The sequence below is a fragment of the Homo sapiens genome, chromosome 20, assembly GCF_000001405.40.
Source record: "Homo sapiens chromosome 20, GRCh38.p14 Primary Assembly".
NCBI classification, from domain to species: domain Eukaryota; kingdom Metazoa; phylum Chordata; class Mammalia; order Primates; family Hominidae; genus Homo; species Homo sapiens.
Genome location: NC_000020.11, coordinates 43,969,416 through 43,989,086, shown reverse-complemented (window position 1 = coordinate 43,989,086; position 19,671 = coordinate 43,969,416). Strand labels below are relative to the sequence as shown.

The 19,671-nt window shown below is 46.2% G+C and overlaps 1 protein-coding gene across 12 annotated transcripts in view, besides 1 other annotated feature; it reads right to left on the bottom strand.

The window, feature by feature from the left end:
- TOX2 (TOX high mobility group box family member 2) overlaps positions 1–19,671 on the bottom strand; it is a 154,765-nt gene that overhangs the window by 80,530 nt on the left and 54,564 nt on the right. For all 12 annotated transcript variants that reach the window (XM_047440561.1, NM_001098797.2, XM_047440565.1 and 9 more), the window contains one exon: positions 15,655–15,720. In XM_047440561.1, the coding sequence (XP_047296517.1) occupies positions 15,655–15,693 (39 nt within the window). In that variant the 5' untranslated portion in view covers positions 15,694–15,720. The remainder of the gene's footprint in view (positions 1–15,654; positions 15,721–19,671) is intronic.
- Positions 510–589: a silencer, noted in NCBI's record as "silent region_12937". NCBI's record gives its function as "represses an Ori minimal core promoter by ATAC-STARR-seq in GM12878 lymphoblastoid cells {active_cell/tissue: GM12878}" and the evidence as "EXISTENCE:reporter gene assay evidence [ECO:0000049][PMID:35858748]".

The window sequence follows — 19,671 nt, the reverse complement described above, 5'->3', positions numbered from 1 at the left end:
GGGGATGCTGCATGTCCATGACCACACTGGGGATAGCACGGCCTGAATCATTAAAAGCACTTTGACTCAGACTAACTGTGGTTCAAATTCCAGTCCATCACATGCAGCTGGGAGTCCTTGACCTCTGAGAAGAGAGACTTACTCAAGGTCACATAATAAATTAGAGTTACCTGGAGCCACAACCAAAACCCAGTGTTCTCACTTCTAGTCCAGAGTCCCCAAACTGCAGATAAATCCACCCTCCTAAGTTCTGAGTCTGGACACATTTGAGTGTGTGTGTGTATATCCCTGTATGTGCCTACACCTGTGAATAAGTGTGTCAGATGTGCTTGTGAATGTGTCTAAACAGCATGTGTACCAGTAGGCTTGTGAGAGTTGTTCATCACCAGATATTAGCTCACCAGATACCAACTCCACTCCTACCCTGTGCCAGGTCCCTGCCCCCACGAAACCCACAGTCTAGGAGGAAAGCAGCCATTAAGCAAATAAACGGAAACTAAAATCTCATTTGTGTGTGCTTGTGCACATGTGAGAGTATTGCTCACACTAGCCCAAGAGTCAGGTGATTTATTATCTCCATTTCACTGCAGAAACTGAGGCAATGAGAGATTGAGTAACTTGCCCAGGAGCACACAGCAATGCTCAATGTGCCTTTCCATACACTGAGCATGCCTACAAGTTGTGTTTGTATTTGCTTATATTTGTGCATGAATGTGTCTGTACACAAGCATGTGTGTTGTCTGTGCCCAGAGAAACTTAGACATCTTCACATATTCCATTAACAAGATTTTCTGGCACCACAGCACAGCATCACAAAAACCACACATACACACACACACATATGCATGTGCTTTAAGTGTTGATGTTTCGGCCAGGTGCGGTGGCTCACGCCTGTAATCCCAGCACTTTGGGAGGCCGAGGCGGGCAGATCACGAGGTCAAGAGATCAAGACCATCTTGGCCAACATGGTAAAGCCCCGTCTCTAATAAAAATACAAAAATTAGCTGGGTGTGGTAGCATGTGCCTGTAATCCCCGCTACTCAGGAGGCTGAGGCAGGAGACTCACTTGAACCGGGGAGGTGGAGGTTGCAGTGAGCCAAGATTGTGATACTGCACTCCAGCCTGGCGACAGAGTGAGACACTGTCTCCAAAAAAAAAAAAAAAAAAAAAAAAAGATGTTGATATTTCAAACATTTCCTAAAACTCTGTCCACAAGGAAATAGAAGTGGAAGGCCAGAGCCTGCAGAGCTGAGCAGATCTGGGGAAGCCCGTGCCACCTGCTTCCCTGGGGCAAGCCACAGCCAGAGCAATTTCACAGCTCATCATCCATTATGAGGCTAAAATAATTCTTTCCCTCCCAGGAAGTTAAATACATTGTTCAAGCGGTAAAAGGCTCGCCCATCCATGCTCTCAGTGGGAATTTACTACCCTGGTGACCGGATTAACACAAGATACAAATGACCAAACCTGGCTAGGTTCCCTTCCCTGCCTGCCCTGTCTCTAAAAATTGAGATACTTGTAAAAATACAATGCCTTGATCTTTCTTTTTTTACACCTTATTGAAGCATAGAATACAACAGAAAAGTGCACAAATCATAAATGTACAGCTCAATGAATTTTCATAAAGTGAACAGATTTGTGTAAACAGCACTCAAAGGAAGGGAGAAAACCTTCCCAGCACCTCTGAAGCCCCTCAAAGCCCCTATAGTCACTCCCCACCCCCCTCTAGGGTAACTGCAATTCACATTCTATCTCCATTGATTAGTTTTGCCTGTTCATGTGCTGTATGTAAATGGCATTGTCTAGAATGTTCTGTCTTGTTGTCTGGTTTCTTTCACTCAACGTGTTTGTGAGACTCATCTGCTTGATGGCATGTGGTTACACATCATTCATTCTCATTGCTGCATAGTATTCCACTGTGTAAGAATATTTCAGAATCATGTATCCAGTCTACTCTTGATGGGCATTTGGATTGTTTTCAGTTTTGAGCTTTAATGAAAAACACTCCTATAAACTTTTTTTTAAGAAACAGTCTCACTCTGTCACCAAGGCTAGAGTGCAATGGAGCAAACATGGCTCATTGCAGCCTCAACCTCCAGGGCTCAAGTGATCGTCCCACCTTAGCCTCTCGAGTAGCTGGGACTACAGGTATGTACCAGCACACCTGGCTAATTATTTAATTTTTTAAAACAGGGGTCTCACTAAATTGCTCAGGCTGGTCTTGAACTCCTGGGCTCAAGCGATCCTCCCACCTCAGACTCCCAAAGTGCTAGGATTACAGGCATGAGCCACCACGCCTGGCCTGAACATACGAAGGCATTTGTGGAGTTGAATTACTGAGTCATAGAGACATATATTCAGCTTTAGATACTGCAAAATGGCATCTATGGTGGTACCAATTTACACAGCAGTGAGTGAGGGTACTGGTTCCTCCAGATCCTTCTCAACTTAGTCTTTTACATATTCTCCGTTTCGGTGGGAGTATACCATGTTAATAAATTTTAAAGCCGGGCACAGTGGCTCACACCTGTAATCCCAGCACTTTGGGAGGCTGGGGTGGGCAGATCACTTGAGGTCAGGAGTTCGAGACCAGCCTGGCCAACATGGAAAAACCCCATTTCTACTAAAAATACAAAAATTAGCTGGGCATGATGGCACATGCCTGTAATCCCAGCTACTCGGGAGGCTGAGACAGGAGAATCACTTGAACCCAGGAGGCGGAGGTTGCAGTGAGCCAAGATCACACCACTGTACTCCAGCCTGGGTGACAGAGTGAGACTCCATCTCAAAAAATACACACATACATACATACATACATACATACATACATTTTAAAAGGCTTCCTCGTCCCTTCCCATTATATCTTTCCTGTTGCAATTGCCAACCATTGTTTATGAAGGCTAGTGGCAACAATAAAACTACAACTGCTCAGTTTACACATGGCACAAGTATAACCACTAGCCACAAACTTCCCACCCTTGAGGGCCATCCCAGCAGTCAATAGCCAAAGGTCACACTGTGCTAACTTTTAAAGCCTTTGGGCAGTTACAAAGAACTTCACTGAAGGTTTTCTTCAGGGGACTTATAAGAGGAAGATCCCACCTCCCAATGCACAGCAACCTTCCTCAGAGCCCTCCTTCCCCATCTCTCTCTCCAAGTGCATGGGTCACTCTCACCGCCTGCTCATCCTTCCCAGCTGGACACACACTCCTCTTAAAGCCATGCGCCCCAGCTCCTCACTCTGCTCTAAGCACCCTCCCAACTATGAGCTCGGCGCCACCGGGTGGCTGTTGGCACAGACCCTGCTACCTCGCAAGCAGATGCATCTTCGAAGGCCTGCATCACTGGCCTGACCCCAGGGCTTCCGGGCCTCTACTTGGGGCTGAGTATGTACCTGTCCCATTTTACCTTACTGAAAATAATGTTTTCCATCTATAAAATGGGGATTTTAGTAGCACCTCAGGCTAACTACCAATTGCTATGTACCAAGCACTAGAATAACCACTTTGGATATAAACACACTTAATTTACTTCTGCATCACTCTGAGGAACTTCTAAAGACAAAATTGAAGCTCAGAAAACTTGGTTAACTTGTCCAAGCTTCCCCAGCCACATGTGTCAAGATTATCATTTGAGCCCAGTTCTGCCTTCTCATGTCATTACCTTTATAACCCAGCTCCTTATCATCATGCCTGGTGGGCTGAAATGTGACACACAGCTTCCAGCCTCATTGCGGGGCCCTCTCAGCATTGGTGTGACTCAGCCAGGTGGGGAAGACCTCTGGGACAGACCATTGTCCCTCCTGGGCGCTCAGGCAGTGGGTGAAGGGGGCTGAGCCCTTGGCTGTAAGTCAACCCGGAAGGTCCCTCAGAGATATTCATCCAATCCCCATTCACAGATGCAAAAACCAGAGCCCAGAGAGGACAAATGACCAGTCTGAGGGGACACAGGGAGAGAGGCTGAGGAGGGGCCGGAACCAGGATCCTGACCCTCCAGAAGATAAGAACCCAGTCCCATTCTGAGAAAGTCCCCACGTCTGGCTTCATTTCCACTTCTTGGTCACCAGTGAGCTCACACACAGCAATGAACAATGTATAAAATCTTCATTCTCTGACCCTCCCCAGTAAAAACTCAGGTCCTACAGGGGATGCTAAGTTCGAGGTGGCTGGGAGGTGGCTGGGAGGGGGAAGGGTGCTGTTTTTAAGAAAATCCTTGAAATCACGTGTCCACCCCACTGCTATCCCCTCCCCCAGGCCCCTGCACTTCCCACATCATCATCATTGTTTCCATCCCATTTAGAGAGAGTGAACATTTCCTGGGATTCAATTTCTCTCATAATAGTTGGAAGGAAACAAAACTATATGCCATAAACATTCACTGCATTGTATGAAAAATATCTTTATGACAGGGGAGGCACCATAAATGCAGACCAAAGTCCTCCCCCCATCCATTCCCCAATGTCTCCATGCCTGCGCCCTCAAATATTTAAACGTCTCATAGGCAGGAATCAAGAGCTTTAAAATAAATATATTTTTGGCCATTGGGATGTAAAATTAAGATTGGTGAGATATAAGTACTCACTCCTCCTCGGCAGTTTTCTCTCAGTGAAAATAAGAGAAGCTAGGCCATTTTTTCTGAGTATGTGTTTAGGGTTGATGGGGAAGAGCTCATTAGTTCAATCTGACATATATACTCAATTCTCTCCATATACACAGGATGGGCTTTTTCCCCCTCCTTGTATTTTATTCTCCAACTGTGAAGTGATATTAAATTTCATCAGATTTGAACAAAATCTATGGTCTTGAAACAGTTTCCTTTAAGGCCTCTGGTATTTATTCAGAACTCATGAATCATGTTCTGATAACACAACCATAATTATTTTTAAAGTGTGATGTTTGTGGCTTTAATAGGAAATGCTTGCAAAAGGCCTTTTCTCTTTGATTGTTTGTAATCTTAGCAGTAATCACCGCTGTTACCTTCTCCGCACCACAGCGGGTGAAACACAATTTCATTTTAATATGAATCGCGAGCTCTTCACCCAGGTTTTAATTAAAGCAATAAAAGCCTTGTCATCTTTGCCCTTTACAGTGTACACAGACTCAGAGGCCAGAATTACTAAGACAGAAATCTTAGATTTCAACAGCAGCAGGAGGGTCGCCTGCCTCCAATACATTTACTGGGGAGGGTTTTTATTTGTTTCGAAGAGCCTCACCCTCCTCTGCCTCTCTGTGCTGCAGTTTCCTCCTCTGTAAAATGGGACAGCAATAGTGCCCACCTACACAGTTAATGTGAGGATGAAATGAGACCACCCATGGAAAACATTTAGCCCCTGAGCCTGAGCCTAAGGAGGTGCAGGGCAAATGTTATTGATCATCGGTATCATCATTTAGTGCTGGAAAAAACAGACCATCTACCCTCATTATTCACATGAGGAAACAGGTTCAGAGTGATACCAGCACAGGTGAAGGCCTAAGAGCAGGGCGGAGCCTCGAACTCAGAGCTCCTGGCTCTTTTTCCCATTCTGGGCATCTGACACTGCCCCCTGCTGGAAGGAGGCTGTGACTTTGAGGCCGCAAGGACCTCAGTGCTCAGGGAGCGGCAGGTCTGAGTTCTCCTCTAGAAGCTGAACAGCACCTTGTCTTCTGGCCTCCTGATGGTACCATCTCCCCACCCTAGTGGGGAGATGCTTGATCCAAGTGGTGAGAGAAACAGACCAGGCAAACTTGGGGATCTGTGAAGGAAGGTTGCTGCACAAACATGATGGTGGTGCTGGAACCAAGAGCAAGAATCACGAACTCCAAGTTCTTGTGTGTCTGTTGCATGCCAGGTGTGGTGTGAGGCACTGAGAAGCCTCATTCTGTAGCATGAGGATGTTGGCCTGTATGACATGATGGCTGTACTCCAGCACACGTTCTGCTGGAGCATCGGGAAGGGATGCTACAGGGGCAGTGGGGCCAGGGGCCACACTGGGTGCTGCGCATGCCCTGTGAGGCTCACAGCCAGCAGGTTCACATTTGGTGGCACACACCGCACCCCAGAGACCTGAGAGCTCCCCAGGGAGCACCTCATGTGTAAGTCCCCAGAATCTTTATGTTCAATTGTGCAGTGTCATTCCCCTTGCAAACAGCTCTGGAGCCACTGGGATTCTCACTCTAGGAACAAAGTACCCTATTTCCCAGCCTTGCCTTAGAACACGCCTTCTGCTTGCCTCCTGCCTCAACAGGAATTTCAGAGGAACTGACATCCTTCTCCCTCTCCACTGCCCCATCCATTCAGACCCCTGCTGATTGTCCCTATAAATCCCATCACACCCAGCCCCATCAGCATCCAGCCCCTCATTCTTCCAGCCTTCAGTTCTGGGTCCCACCTTCCCATCCACCCTACCCCGGCATCCTTCCAGGGCCCTTCAGCTCAGCCACCATGCTGTGCTGGGCAGTGGGCTCCTCACCTCCCAGGAGCTTCTCCCCCATGCAGCTCCCTGCTCCCCAGGCATACCAGGCCCCTGCCAATGCCATGGCCTGCTCACTTCCAAAATCACCAGCCAGCGTCCCACTCTGAATAAGGTGTCCTTGCCATCCAGCTGCTCCCCACTAGCTCTTTAGCTGCACTGGACCCCAGGCCCTGGGACCCGTCTTCTCTCTAAAAGCAGCTTAGATTCCCTGATCCTTTACATTAGTCTCTTTTGAGTAAAAAAAAGCTGTTGTGTCCTTCTGGTGCAACTGCCTGGCAGATCTCTTGCCCTGGATTAACCCACCTGTCTGCCCCACAGCACAAGCACCGGGAGCTCATTCTCCCATGCCCCACAGCAAATACCCCAGACCTCCCCACCACCTCTCACCCGCAGTCCCCTGGCTCTTGGCCCACCAACTCTCTGAGAAGACTGACACCTTCAGGTGCAGACACCCTCTGCTCCCAGCCAACCCATCTACAAAGCCACACTCCTTTTCTCTGCTGTCCTCCACACCCAGCACTCCCAGCTAAGGCCAGAGCCACCACCTCTGAGCAGGATCCAGACCCTCCCACTTTCTCTGAAATCTGAAAGCATCCCTTAGCCTTTCCCCCTCCTAAACCCAGAGCTTCACCCTCTCTCCTGACACTTTCCATTGATGACTAAATATTCTAAAGACTTTTCTTTAAAAAAAAAAAAAAAAGAAAATCCCTTCTATGGAATCTTCATCTCATTGAGCTCGGCCCTGGCCCTTGTCCTGCACAGCTAAATTTCTCACACAAGTTGTCTATATTTACTGTTTACATGTCCTCACCTCACGCTTCTCAATCTGCCCATGGGACCAGAACAATGACCCTGCACATCAAAACTGCTTATACTGAAGCCCAGAGTCACTTCCTTTTCGCTAAGATGACTGGACACATTTCAACTTTCATCTCACCCAATCCCTCAGAAGTGTTTGAGCTAACTGACTCTCTCCTTCTTCTTACATTTTATTTAACTTTCTAAAGTTATAATAAATTCCCATGGTTTAAAACTCCCTAAACATAAAAAGATACGGTGAAAAGTCTTTTTCTATCCCTGCCCAGCACCTGCACAGTTCCCATACCACGCACACACACACAGAGGTACATGCATGTACAACGCGCAAAGCCACTCTAGCGTCCATGTATCCTTCCAAGGTTATTTAATCAAATGCAAGCACTTAGAAATATACATTCTTATCACCTTTTTGTATAAATGGTAGCATACTGTACTGTTTTACATCTTTTTTAGTAAAGCAATATCAAAATGAATAGTCTTGAATATGTCATTTCTCATATGTACAAATATATCTGTAGGGCATATTTCCAAAAAAACGAATTGCTGGGTTAAAGGTCAATGTATTTGCAATTTTGATAGATGTTGTCCATTTACCCTGCCCACAGAAATGTATAAAGTACCTGTTTCCCCATAAGAACTCCAACCGAGTGTGTTATCAAACCTTTGGATTTTGGTCAATCCAATTGGTAAAAAATGGCTGTCTTATGATTTATGAATGATTCTTAGCACTTTTCACATACTTAAGAGCCACTTGTATTTCTTTTTCTGTAAACTATTGGTTCATATCTCCTTCCTTTTTTTCTACCAGGGTTTTGAACTGATCTCTAGCAAGTCTTCATGTATAAGGGTGATTAGTTCTTCAACTATGGTGTAAGTTGAAAATATTCTTGCCCAACTTTTGTCTACTGACTTTACTTATGCTGGTTTGGCCATACAAAAGTCATATGTTGATTTTATGTTAATTTTTATATTTATATTAATTTAGTTTTATGTTAATTTATGGTCCAATTTTAAGTCTTTTCTTCTGAGGCTTTAAATAGTAGAAATGCCTTCCCCACACCAAACTTGTAAAGTATACCTTAAGGTTTGTTTTGCTGGTGCCTTTATGGTTCCCTTGAGTATGTTTAAATGTTTGATTTAACATTTATCAAATCATTTTTTATTTTTAATTTTTGTGTGTACATAGGTGTACATATTTATAGAGTACATGAGACATTTTGATACAGGCATGCAATAAGTAATAATTACATCATGGAGAATGGGTTATCCATTCCCTTAAGCATTTATCCTTGTGTCACAAACAACCCAATTATACTCTTTCAGTTATTTTAAAATACGCAATTATTGACTATACTTTGTTGTACTATCAAACATTAAATCTTATTCATTCTATTTTGTACACATTAATCATCCCCATGTCCCCCCTCTGCCCCACTACCCTTCCCAGCCTCTGGTAACCATCCTTCTACTCCCTATCTCCATGGGTTCATTGTCTTGATTTTTAGACCCCACAGATAAGTGAGAACATGCAATGTTTATCTTTCTGTGCCTGGCTTATTTCACTTAACATGATGATCTCTAGTTCCATCCATGTTGTTGCAAATGGATCTCATTCTCTTTGTATGGCTGAATAATACTCCATTGTGTATAAATACCACATTCTCTTTACCCATTCATCTGTTGATGGACACTTAGGTTTCTTCCAAGTTTTAGCTTTGTGAACAGTGCTGCAACAAACATGGAAGTGCCGATATCTTCAATATACTGATTTCCTTTCTTTGGGGTATATACCCAGCAGTTGGATTGCTGGATCATATGGTAGCTCTATTTTTAGTTTTTTGAGGAACCTCCAAACTGTTCTCCACAGTAGTTATACTATTTTACATTCCCACCAACAGTGTACGAGGGTTCCCTTTTCTCCATATCCTCACCAGCATTCGTTATTGCCTGTCTTTTGAATATAAGCCATTTTAACTGGGTGAGATCACATTTCATTGTAGTTTTGATTTGCATTTCTCTGATTGTCAGTGATATTGAGCAACTTTTCATATGCCTCTTTGCCATTGCAGGTCTTCTTTTAAGAAATGTCTATTCAAATCTTTGGCCCATTTTTTAATTGGATTACGAGATTTTTTTTCCTATAGAGTCATTTGAGCTCCTTATATATCCTGATTACTAATCTCATCAGGTAGTTTGCAAATACTTTCTCCCATTCTGTGGGCTGTCTCTTCACTTTGTTGATTGTTTCCTTTGCTGTACAGAAGTGTTTTAACTTGATGTGATCCCATTATCAAAGGATTTTATTTATCCTTTGATAAATTTTAAGGAACTGTGGATCCAACATCCTTTTCACCTAGATCCCCTCTCTTCTTGAATTACTCTGCCCGTGGTTTCTAAGACTCCAAGTTCTCCTCCTACTTCTCAAACCACTCCTTCTTAATCTATTTCACAGTCTTCTCCTCCTCTACTTTGCCTTCAAATGTTGGAGCTCAACATCTCAGAGTCATTGGTCCTCTGCTCTTCTCGTTCTTCCCTCTCTCCATAAATCTCCTTCACTCCCAAGGTTTTGATATCATGGGCTGAAGATTTCCAAATTTACTTCTCTTATGAGCTCAAGATTTGTACCATCATCTATCTACTTGAACATCTCCATGTGGATGAGCATCTCAAATATAACACATCCAAGTCTGGCATCATCAAACCTGCAAATCCCCAGGGTTTCCCCAACTCAGAAAATGGTACCACCATGCCTGAAAATGGGCTCATGGTAGAAGCCTAGGAGTCATCCTTTACCCCTCCGTTTCTCTCTCCCTCTATGTCCATCACTGTCAAGACCCACTAACTTTATCTCCAATGCATCTACTTCTTTCCATCCCCTCTGCCACAATCTAGATCTTGATCCTTTACTTGGCCTATTACCAACCCTCTCAACTTGGTCTCCCTGTATTCATTCTTGTCATTGAGAGCTTTTAAGACTGCAAATCTGATGTCATTCATGTCATTCAGTCTGACTCTAATACACACACACACACACACACACACACACACACACAAGTTCTTTCAATAATTCCTGTAAAAAATGTGAGCTCTTTAGCAGAAGTGGTATTTAGAGCTAAGAGAGTGGAAAACTCTACACACAGCCAGGAAGGCTGTGATGAGGAGGTGACATTTGCAGTGCCCCTGAAGGAACAAATAGGCATTTGTTGGTTGAAAAACACTAGGGGATTCCCATCAGAGGAAACAATGCATACAAAAACACCAAGTTGTAAATGAGCGCAAGAGGTGAACAGAAGCTCTTGTGTGACCAAAGCATTATATATGGTAAAAAATAATAAGTCATAGCTAGTTTTTCTGACTCTGGTTCTTTACATACTCTTAGTTTAGCTTCCTCTGAAGTACAGCCTGAGATGGGGATGCCTGTGAAAGTGACTTGAAGAGGGCTCTTAGAAGAAGGGCGGGAGGGAGGCAGGACATGACAGGGGAGGAGCTGAGTAAAGATTTGGCCTTGGTGGCTGGAGTCTGGCTGGATTAGCTGGAGCCCATGAGGAGTTGCAGAGTTGGTCACTCCTTGAGATAAGGATATCGGTTTCTAGACCTCCCCTTCTATCCTCTCCTGGGTTCACAGTTCCAATTTTCCAAAGAAAGAGTAGCTGTGAATAGTTAGCAGCCAACACTCACAGCAGCTGAATGATGAGCAGGACTCTGGTGAGGCAGCAACAGAATCCACAATACACACACACCTCATTTACTTCTCATGACACTCTAGGAGGCAGACGCTGCTACTCCTCCCATTTGATAGGAAGCTGCTATCACTTGCATAAGGAAATCTGGCCCATGCTGAGGCATGGAGGAGCTGGAATTTGAATCCAGGTCTGCTGAGTCCCAAGCCCACTTCCCTTTCCTCCTCACCTCGTCCCAGGAAGGAGGAGACTCTTTCTGGGTCACATCATCAGGAAATATCCATTTCTGTAACTCCTGGACAGAGTCTGCTCTCAACAGGAAAGAACTGACCTCTACCAGGTCCTCTACCCCCCTGGAGCTGCTGATGGGGACACAGCCCTATCTGAGAATTATATCTCATTCTCAGGCCACCCCGGCAAGTCTGGTACAAAAGTAACCCAAGGTCCAAGGAGGGAGAGGGAGTGTGATCATTTGTAGAAGCTAAAGCAGCTATGGGAAAATTTATGTGGAGTCTTGCAAAAACCAAACAATGGAGAATGTATTTGCAAAAAAAAACACTTCAAGCCCGTAGAGCGGCGGTGAAAGTTTTCAAAAAGGGACACAGTCAGCTAATACATACCCTAGGGGAACCTCTGTCTCAGCTGCGGTTTCTAAGTAAAGAAGATGGCATCTCAGGAGAAGTGTTACATTAAAGAACAAATTTGTAATACGATTTGAATGTTCTGGGCCAGACATAGTGACTCACGCCTGTAATCCCACCACTTTGGGAGGCCGAGGTGGGCGGATCACTTAAGGTCAGGAGTTCAAGACCAGCCTGGCCAACATGGTGAAACCCTGTCTCAACTAAAAATACACACACACACAAATCAGCTGGGTGTGGTGGCAGGCACCTGTAATCCCAGCTACTCGGGAGGCTGAGGCTGGAGAATCACTTGAACCCAGGAGGTGGAGGTTGCAGTGAGCCGAGATCAAGCTACTGCACTCCAGCCTGGGTGACAGTGAGACTCCATCTCAAAAATATATACATATATTGATTGGATGTTCTGGAAGCAAATGTTTTCCAGAAATGGCTTCCCACTGATATTCACAGCCTTGCATATAACAGGTGTCCAATAAACATTTGCTGATTGGGTGAACCTTGTATTTAACTGTATTTATAAAACATATTTTAAGCCATTTAGAGTGTTTATCCTCTGAATCCTCTAGTGGCTGTGAGGGCTTCATTTTACCCAAATGTTGATGTCAATCCTTAATCCAGTAATTTGGACAATACAATTCTTGCAGTTGATGAGACAACACATTGTGAGAGGGTGTTCACGTGTATGTGTGTATGTGTGTGTGTGTGTGTGTGTGCGCGCGCGCTCGCGTTGTGAGTTCAAGAAGCACTCCAGGGAAAAGAGGAAGGAAATATATAGAACTTTCATCATTCAAGTCTAGAAGCTAGTAGGGTCCCACTGAGCTGCAAGGAGCTATAGGTACCAGAAAAGTCTAAGTTATTTTTCAACAAAATCATCATGAATCATATCCCATATGTTTCCTACATGTGGTAGTTTGTAAAAAGGCCACAATATTTTGCAGCCTTTCCCATCAAGAGGTAGAGGCTATTTCTCCATTCCTTGATCTAGGCTGGTCCTGTGACTGGCTTTGACCAATAGAATGTGTTGGAAGTAGATGTGTGTTTATTTCAAGCCTGGACCTCAAGAAATCTTGCAATTTCTGCTCTTGCTGCTCTGGGAACCCTTCTCCTACCATGTGAACAACCTGGAGCTAGCCTGCTGGAAGCTGAGAGACCATGTGGAACACAGGTGAGCCTCCCATACCAACCAGCCCACTGCTGATCTGGCAATGTATTGCTGCTGCTAAAGTGATCCTAAGCAAGGCCAGAAGAACCACCCAACTGAACTCAGTTAAACTGCTGACCCACAAAATCATTAACCAGATAAACATTTGTTGTTTTAAGCCACTAAGTTTTGAGGTGTTTGTTATGCAGGAAAAACTAACGGATACACTATAAGAAATCTAACTGCAATTGCAAAATTTGTTCACATTAAGATTGGCTCATGCCACTGGCTAGACTTAATTAATCTCAGAGAATTTTGATATCTTCTTCATAAAGTCCTAAGTTAGGGAGACCCTCTGGGTCACAGCATAAAAGATTTAGAAGGACCCTCAGGAAGTCCAACCACCTTGTTCCACTGTTAGGGACATTGAAGTTCAGAGAAGAGCAGGGGCTACCATCACTCATTACACAAATATTTTCTGAGTGCTCTCGGTGTTCCAGACACTATGCCCCACTGGGATACACAGCATTGGACCAGAGAGACCAGATCCTTTCCCCATGGTGGTCACAGTTTAGGGTGGAAATCAGGCATTAACTAAGTCATCACAAGGTAAGTAGATGACCACTGTGACAAAAATTATGAATTTTTGTCACTATGAATTAAAAAGACCTGGTGCCATTTTAATGAGAATCATGGAAAGGGGACCTAACGTGGGTTTGGCAGTCACAAAGAGCTCTCTGCAGAAGTGACATTTAGGCTGAGGCAAGTCAGTGGACAAGGCAAGGGAGGCTTGTGGAGCTCCGAGTCTGAGCTTCACAAGTTTGAATGCCAGCTCTAGTGCTCCCTGGCTGAGTCACCTTGATTGAATCAGCCAACATCCTTGATCTTCAGTTGCATCATCTATAAAATTGACTGAACAATAACGTCTACTCATTCTCGAGGCTGTTGTGAAGATTAGCTGAAATAACCATTGAGAAAAAGGCTTTGCAAGCTGCAAAGTGTTGGGGGAATTGTTGAGGATATGACTGTTAATGGTTTGGGGAGGGTGACATTTATTTGTACCAAGTCTCCTCTCCAAACGACTGTGCTCTCCTCTGCCGAGGCCTAGAGCAGACACAGAGCCCCACTGAGTCCCACTTTTCCTTCTTGGTGGAAGGACATTGCCAATGCTTTCCAGTAGGTTCCAGAACAGAATTCACCATAATATAGTTCTGAAAACCAGGGCTCAATATGTTAACAAAAATACTATTTAAACATTGTGAAAAGGCTCAGATGAGATGTCAGGGCTAACTCTGGTCTGCTGAGATGAGACTTCAGTTGATTATGTACAATTAAATGACATCAGTGTACTCTTCCAAAATAACCACTTCCAAGGCCTGGAGTCTTGCCCACCAGTCTTGCATGTTGGCGCATGTCAATGCAATATAAAGGCAGCTTTGCAGCAGCAGCATTATGCTCACACAGGGACAGGCCAGAGAGGGGCATGGTATGGTGGCCCCGGCATGAGCGATCCTGCAGCGGCAGGGGAGGGGGCGCAGCACCCTGCAGCAGAGCTTCCATGCCCCACTGAGACTACAGTATCTTCCTCACTAGTAGTGCCCCCTAGGGCCACAGGCCCATGTCTTACTCATCTATGGCCTCCATGGGACCTGTCACAGAATAGGGACATAAATATTTGTGAATTAATAGGCTTCTATTGCCCCATCTGGAAAATATGTGCCCAGCCTGATGGCTGAGGGGCCACCCAACTTGGACTGCCATAGCCCCCACAATGGCAGAGACAGAGGGTAGAGGTCAGCTCCAGGGCCGGGGTTGCCCTCCAGCTTCCCAAGTTTCTCAGCAGCTATAACCCTCCTTGGCTCTCCAATCAGTGTCCCGAGCTGGTCCCACCCAGCAAGCACCACTGCCTTAGGGAACCATCCTCCACGATGCCATGCCTGTAATGAGAATACTTCCTGGTATCACATTCTGCCATGAGGACCCTCCCTGGGGTTCCGGCCTGCAGTAAGGACTCTCCCTGGGGCCCCCGCCTGCAGTGAGGACCCTCCCTGGGGCCCCAGCCTTCAGTGAGGACCCACCCTTGCATCACTTTCTGTAGGGATGACATTCCCCAGGGTCCTGGCCTGCAGTGAGGACCCTCCCTGATCTCAGCCTAGAGTGAGAACCCTCCCTGGGGTCCCAGCCTGCAGTGAGGACCCACCCTGGCATCACATTCTGCAGGGAGACCCTCCCTGGACCCTCAGCCTGCAGCAAGGACCCTCTGTGGCATCATAGTCTATAGTGAGGATGCTCCCAGCTGAGAGAAACATTAATTTTCAGAGACCAGGCTCTCAGTGGAAAATCTGATTCCAACTGGCAACTATGACCCCCCAGAGGGCCAGGCTGGGGTTCGAGACAGCCTTGCCCAGGAATGACTCTGCTTCCTTTGCCACCAGTAAGACCTTCTGCTCTCTTTCCTTGTGCCCTGTCCACAACCCTCCCCTGTGGCCTTCAACAACTCCCAGCAGGCAGGAGAACCATGCATGCCTACGCAAGGGCATGTGTGCATCCAAACCAGAACATGTCCCCGTGGGTGCTGTGTGGTGGCAAGAGGCAGGCGGCACCAGAGAGCAGCAGGCACCTCAACTCACTGCTGCTGAAAAGCTGCCCCAAGCGTGGGGAGTATGGGCAATACATTTCAAGTTTCATCAAGTTCCCAATCCATTTTAAGCCAACAGTAGCCAGGTAGTTAATTTACGAACACTATAGTCCCACTTTGATTGTACCTTTTAAGGAGACTATTGCTATTCTTGATCATTCAGAGAGAAGACAGCAGCGGGCTGTGCTGGCCCCATTCTGCACCCCCTACCTCCACCCAGGAACAGCTCAGATCCAGCCAGCCCAAATCTTAAGACACCCGTTCAGGGAGGATGAGGCACCCACCTGGCTGGTTGACAGGAGCTCTGGGTTTCCGTCACTCATCCCCACGTAGGCACTGTCACCATCAAACTAGAATAGAGAGAGAGGGAGAAGCAGCTCTGATTAAAATGCTCTCAGGAAGGCACCAGGAGAAGCAGCCGGAGGAGGGCAGGGGACTGACTGCAGGGGACTGTGGGAGCTGCAGAAGGCAAATCAGAGCCCAGGATGCCCAAAGCCCCATTTCAGCAGGGCTACCTCTAGGGTGGAAGGAGCAGCCCCTGTTCCACGGCCCTTGAGTGCTCAGGTTCATGCTGTTAATCACACTTACAATGCAAATAGGAAAACCTTTCTGCCCTCTATAACTTGTCCATAGACACAACAGGCTGCCTTGCCATGTGCTGAGCTGCCCATCCTTGGAAGTATGCAAACACCTCCCTTGATCAAAATTATATCAGGTGATCAGCTAGAGCTGGAATCCCATGTGCTGGGGGAGGCCAAGAACACCAGAGCCTTGGGATCATGACAGCCTTCCCCAGACATGCCCTCCGGGTCCTGCCATCCTGAGTGGTTTTGGCCCATCACCTATGCCATCCCAGCCCCTAGGGCCACGCCTGGCTACAGGCAGTGAGGACTATGGTAGAGACCATGTACAGGAACTATATCCTGTGTGCAGAGAAGCTGCTAAGTCTGGATTCAGGAAGATTTCCCTGTAAATCTGCCTAAAAAGTCAGGAGCAGGTGCAGGGGAAGAGATGTGGGCTCTGGGACCCCCGCCTCCCTCTTTGCCCTGAAGTGTGATCTCAAGTTGGTGCCTCAACTTCTGAGATTCCTCATCTGTTAAATGGGGATGGTGCCTGTAGGCCCCTCCTCATAGGATGTTGCACTGTAGAGCACTTGACTCAACACATTAATATGGAGAGGACTTAATTCCAGTTAGTTCCCTTCCCTTAAGCTAGGTATCTTAGATAGGGTTCCCTAGAAGGAGAGCCTGAGGCAAGGGTTCAGATGCATGTGGCTATTAAGAAAGTACTCCTTGGGAATAACCTGTAAGTGTGGGAGGCAAGCCGGACAGGAGTGGGTACAGCTAAGCAAGGATGTGGTCTTGCCTGAAGACTTCTTTCAGCCTGCTCTGATGGGGAACTCTGGGGCATGAATTGTATGCAGAGTTAGTACCAACACGAAGCAAGGGGTGGCTGTTGTAGCCCAGGTAAGGAAGTCATAGGCCATGGGCTGCCCTTAGGGGACATGGGGAGACATAACCTTCTGAGCAAGGTGGCCCCCAATTGACCAAGCACAAGTCTTCAGAGAACTATACTGGCTGTGAGCCATTTGCAGGCAGCTTGTGCTCAAGGCAGGTGGGAGATGTCTGTGCTGGTCAGTAAAGGGTTCTGAGTGGGGCACCAATAGCAAACAGCCATTTTATTTTAATTGAACCATTTATTTATTAAGATATATTCACATGGTTCAAAATTCCAAGAGTACAAAAAGCAACACCACCCCACCTCCCAGCCATCCACTGCCCCTCTCCAGAGGCAACGTCTACCAGCTTTTTTATATCATTTCAAAGACTGTCTACATATACACATTTTAGAGTCATTTATTCTATTCATGACAGCATGCTATACAGTTTTGCACTTTATTTTTCTCTTAGCAACACATCTTAGAAAATGTTTTATATCAGAACATAGTTCTTTTTTCTGTACCCAGTATTCCACAGTGTGGATATAACACATATATTCAACTAGCTGAGCACATGGGTAGTTGCATTGTTTCTAGTTTTCTGCTATCCCAATATTGCTCCCATAAATATTTTTGTGCATCTGTTATTGAGCATAGGTGTGAGTTTATCTGTAGGATTCATTTGTGTAATTGCTGGATCCAACTGTATGTGCATTTGTAATTTAGACAGACATCACCCAGCTGCCCTCACGGAGGCCGTAGAAATCCACACGCCCACAACCATGTGAAATGTCTGTTTACCCAGCCGCCTTCACTCAGAGAAGCTTTGCTTGATAACTGGCTCAGATGCCAGCCCCAGCCCCTGTGGGCTGAGAGCCCACCACCCTTTCTACCACCATTTTCGACGCGCCCTCGCCCCGCCTTCCCTTGGTCTTTGTTCCGAAGTCCCTGTTACCTTCTAGCATTCTCTATATTTACTATATTCATTGCTTATGATTAGATTCCTCTTACTAAAATGGAGGCTCCCAGGGATCAGGGATCTTTGTCTATCTGTACCTTGATGTCTCCCAAGCTCCTAGAACAGTGCCTGGCACAGAGAAGGTACTCAATAAATGTTTGTTGAATAAGTAAATAAAGCAGTCACTACCACATGCAGATCACCTCTGACCAGGCCTATCTTCCCATCTAGGCAGTTGGGTTGATGGTTACACCAAAGAGCCTCCCCAGCACAGGGACGGGGAGAGTCCCTTGGTGACTACTGGATGATTTAAAAAAAGGTTCTTCCATGCCTAGAGTTTGGGCACTGACCCCAAATGCAGGACTCCATCCACCACACTGCACACAGAGCTCATGCTGCAAGACCCTGCTCAGAGGCTACCTCCTCCAGGAGGCCTGCCATGCTCGCATCTCCTCTGGCTGTTGCTCTTATAACATAGACTGTCTCCACATTTGTCATCTGTCCCAGAGTGGAAGCAACATGGAGGCTGGAACTGTGTCTGGTCATCTCCAAATCTCCCAGAGCCTGGCATTAGGGATGGGGCTATAAATTAGGCAGGGTGGGGGCGCTCTCAGCAAAAGCTCCTGGGTACTTGACTTGATGTGTGACCATGGCCATTGATCATTTTGACAAAAGTAAAATTTTTTAAAAATCACATGTAACTTATAAGTAGACCCTAATAGGAAGAATAATTGGAGATGGAGGAACATTAAGTTTAATGAAGTGTTTGAAACATTTTATAAAGCAATAGTAATCGAACAGTATGGTATAGGAATATGCATGAGAAACAGAGGGAAAGATGTCCAAAAAACCTTTGAATGGTCACCATTTATTAAATGCTGGTGAGAACAGAGCCACTGCAAGGCAGGGGCCAACATCTGCTTCATTCCCCGATAAGCACAGTAGACAATCAATAAATATTTGGTGACAGAATGAATATTCCTGGTACTGAGCAAAATGCTTTACATAAAAGACCTCATTTAATCCTCACGATGATCCAATGAAGAAAATATTCTTTTCCCTGCTAAAACCAAGCAAACAGATAGAGAGAGGATAAGCAGTTGTCCAAGATCACACAGCTGGGGAGAGATGGGATTTAAGAGTCCCTTGTTGGATTTTTTCTGCTTGGACTCTCCCACTAGCTGCAAGTGCATTCACAGCAGGGACCAATGCTTTTCTAGAGCCTACTATATAATCAATAGTCTGCCTTGGGCCTGGCGCATAACAGGTGCTTGATAAGTGTGTTAGAGGTTCAGGAGAGGGAGGAATTATCCACAGAGAGCAGTGGGAATGGTACTGGAGATGTAGGGCAAGGGGGCCTGGTCTCCGACACGAGTGTGTTAGGGGCAGGCAAGGGGGTGGGCAGTGGATTCCCATGAGGTCACCAGAGCCTGTCTTATTCATTCACTCCTTTATTCAACCAATGTCTAGGAAAGAGCTGCCACGTGCTGTAGTAAAGCTTGCTTCTGGCTTTCAAGGGGCACTTGAGAAGCTGGCAGAGGTTCCCGAGGCAGGGCCTGAGTCTCCTCAGTTCAGTTACCCTTGGGCACCTTGCACAGTGCCCTGGAGCCTGCTGGGCTCAGAACCAGCTGCGGAGCAGCAGTGAGCAGAGGCCCTGAGTGGGCGGGGAGGCCTGTTCTTTGCCCACCTCTGCCAGGGTTCCACCACATCGGAGCCCTTGGAGGGCATGAAGGAATAGTTGGGGGACACTGAGGGTTCCCAGGCTCCCTCTGGCTTGGCTTCCAGTACTCTAAGGCCTGGGGCTTACCCCTGCAGCCCCCTCCTCATTTGGGACCTTTTCTGGCTAAATGAACTTGGAAGCCAAGGGGAGAGGTCACAAAGTCACCTCTGCCCTCAGACACAGCA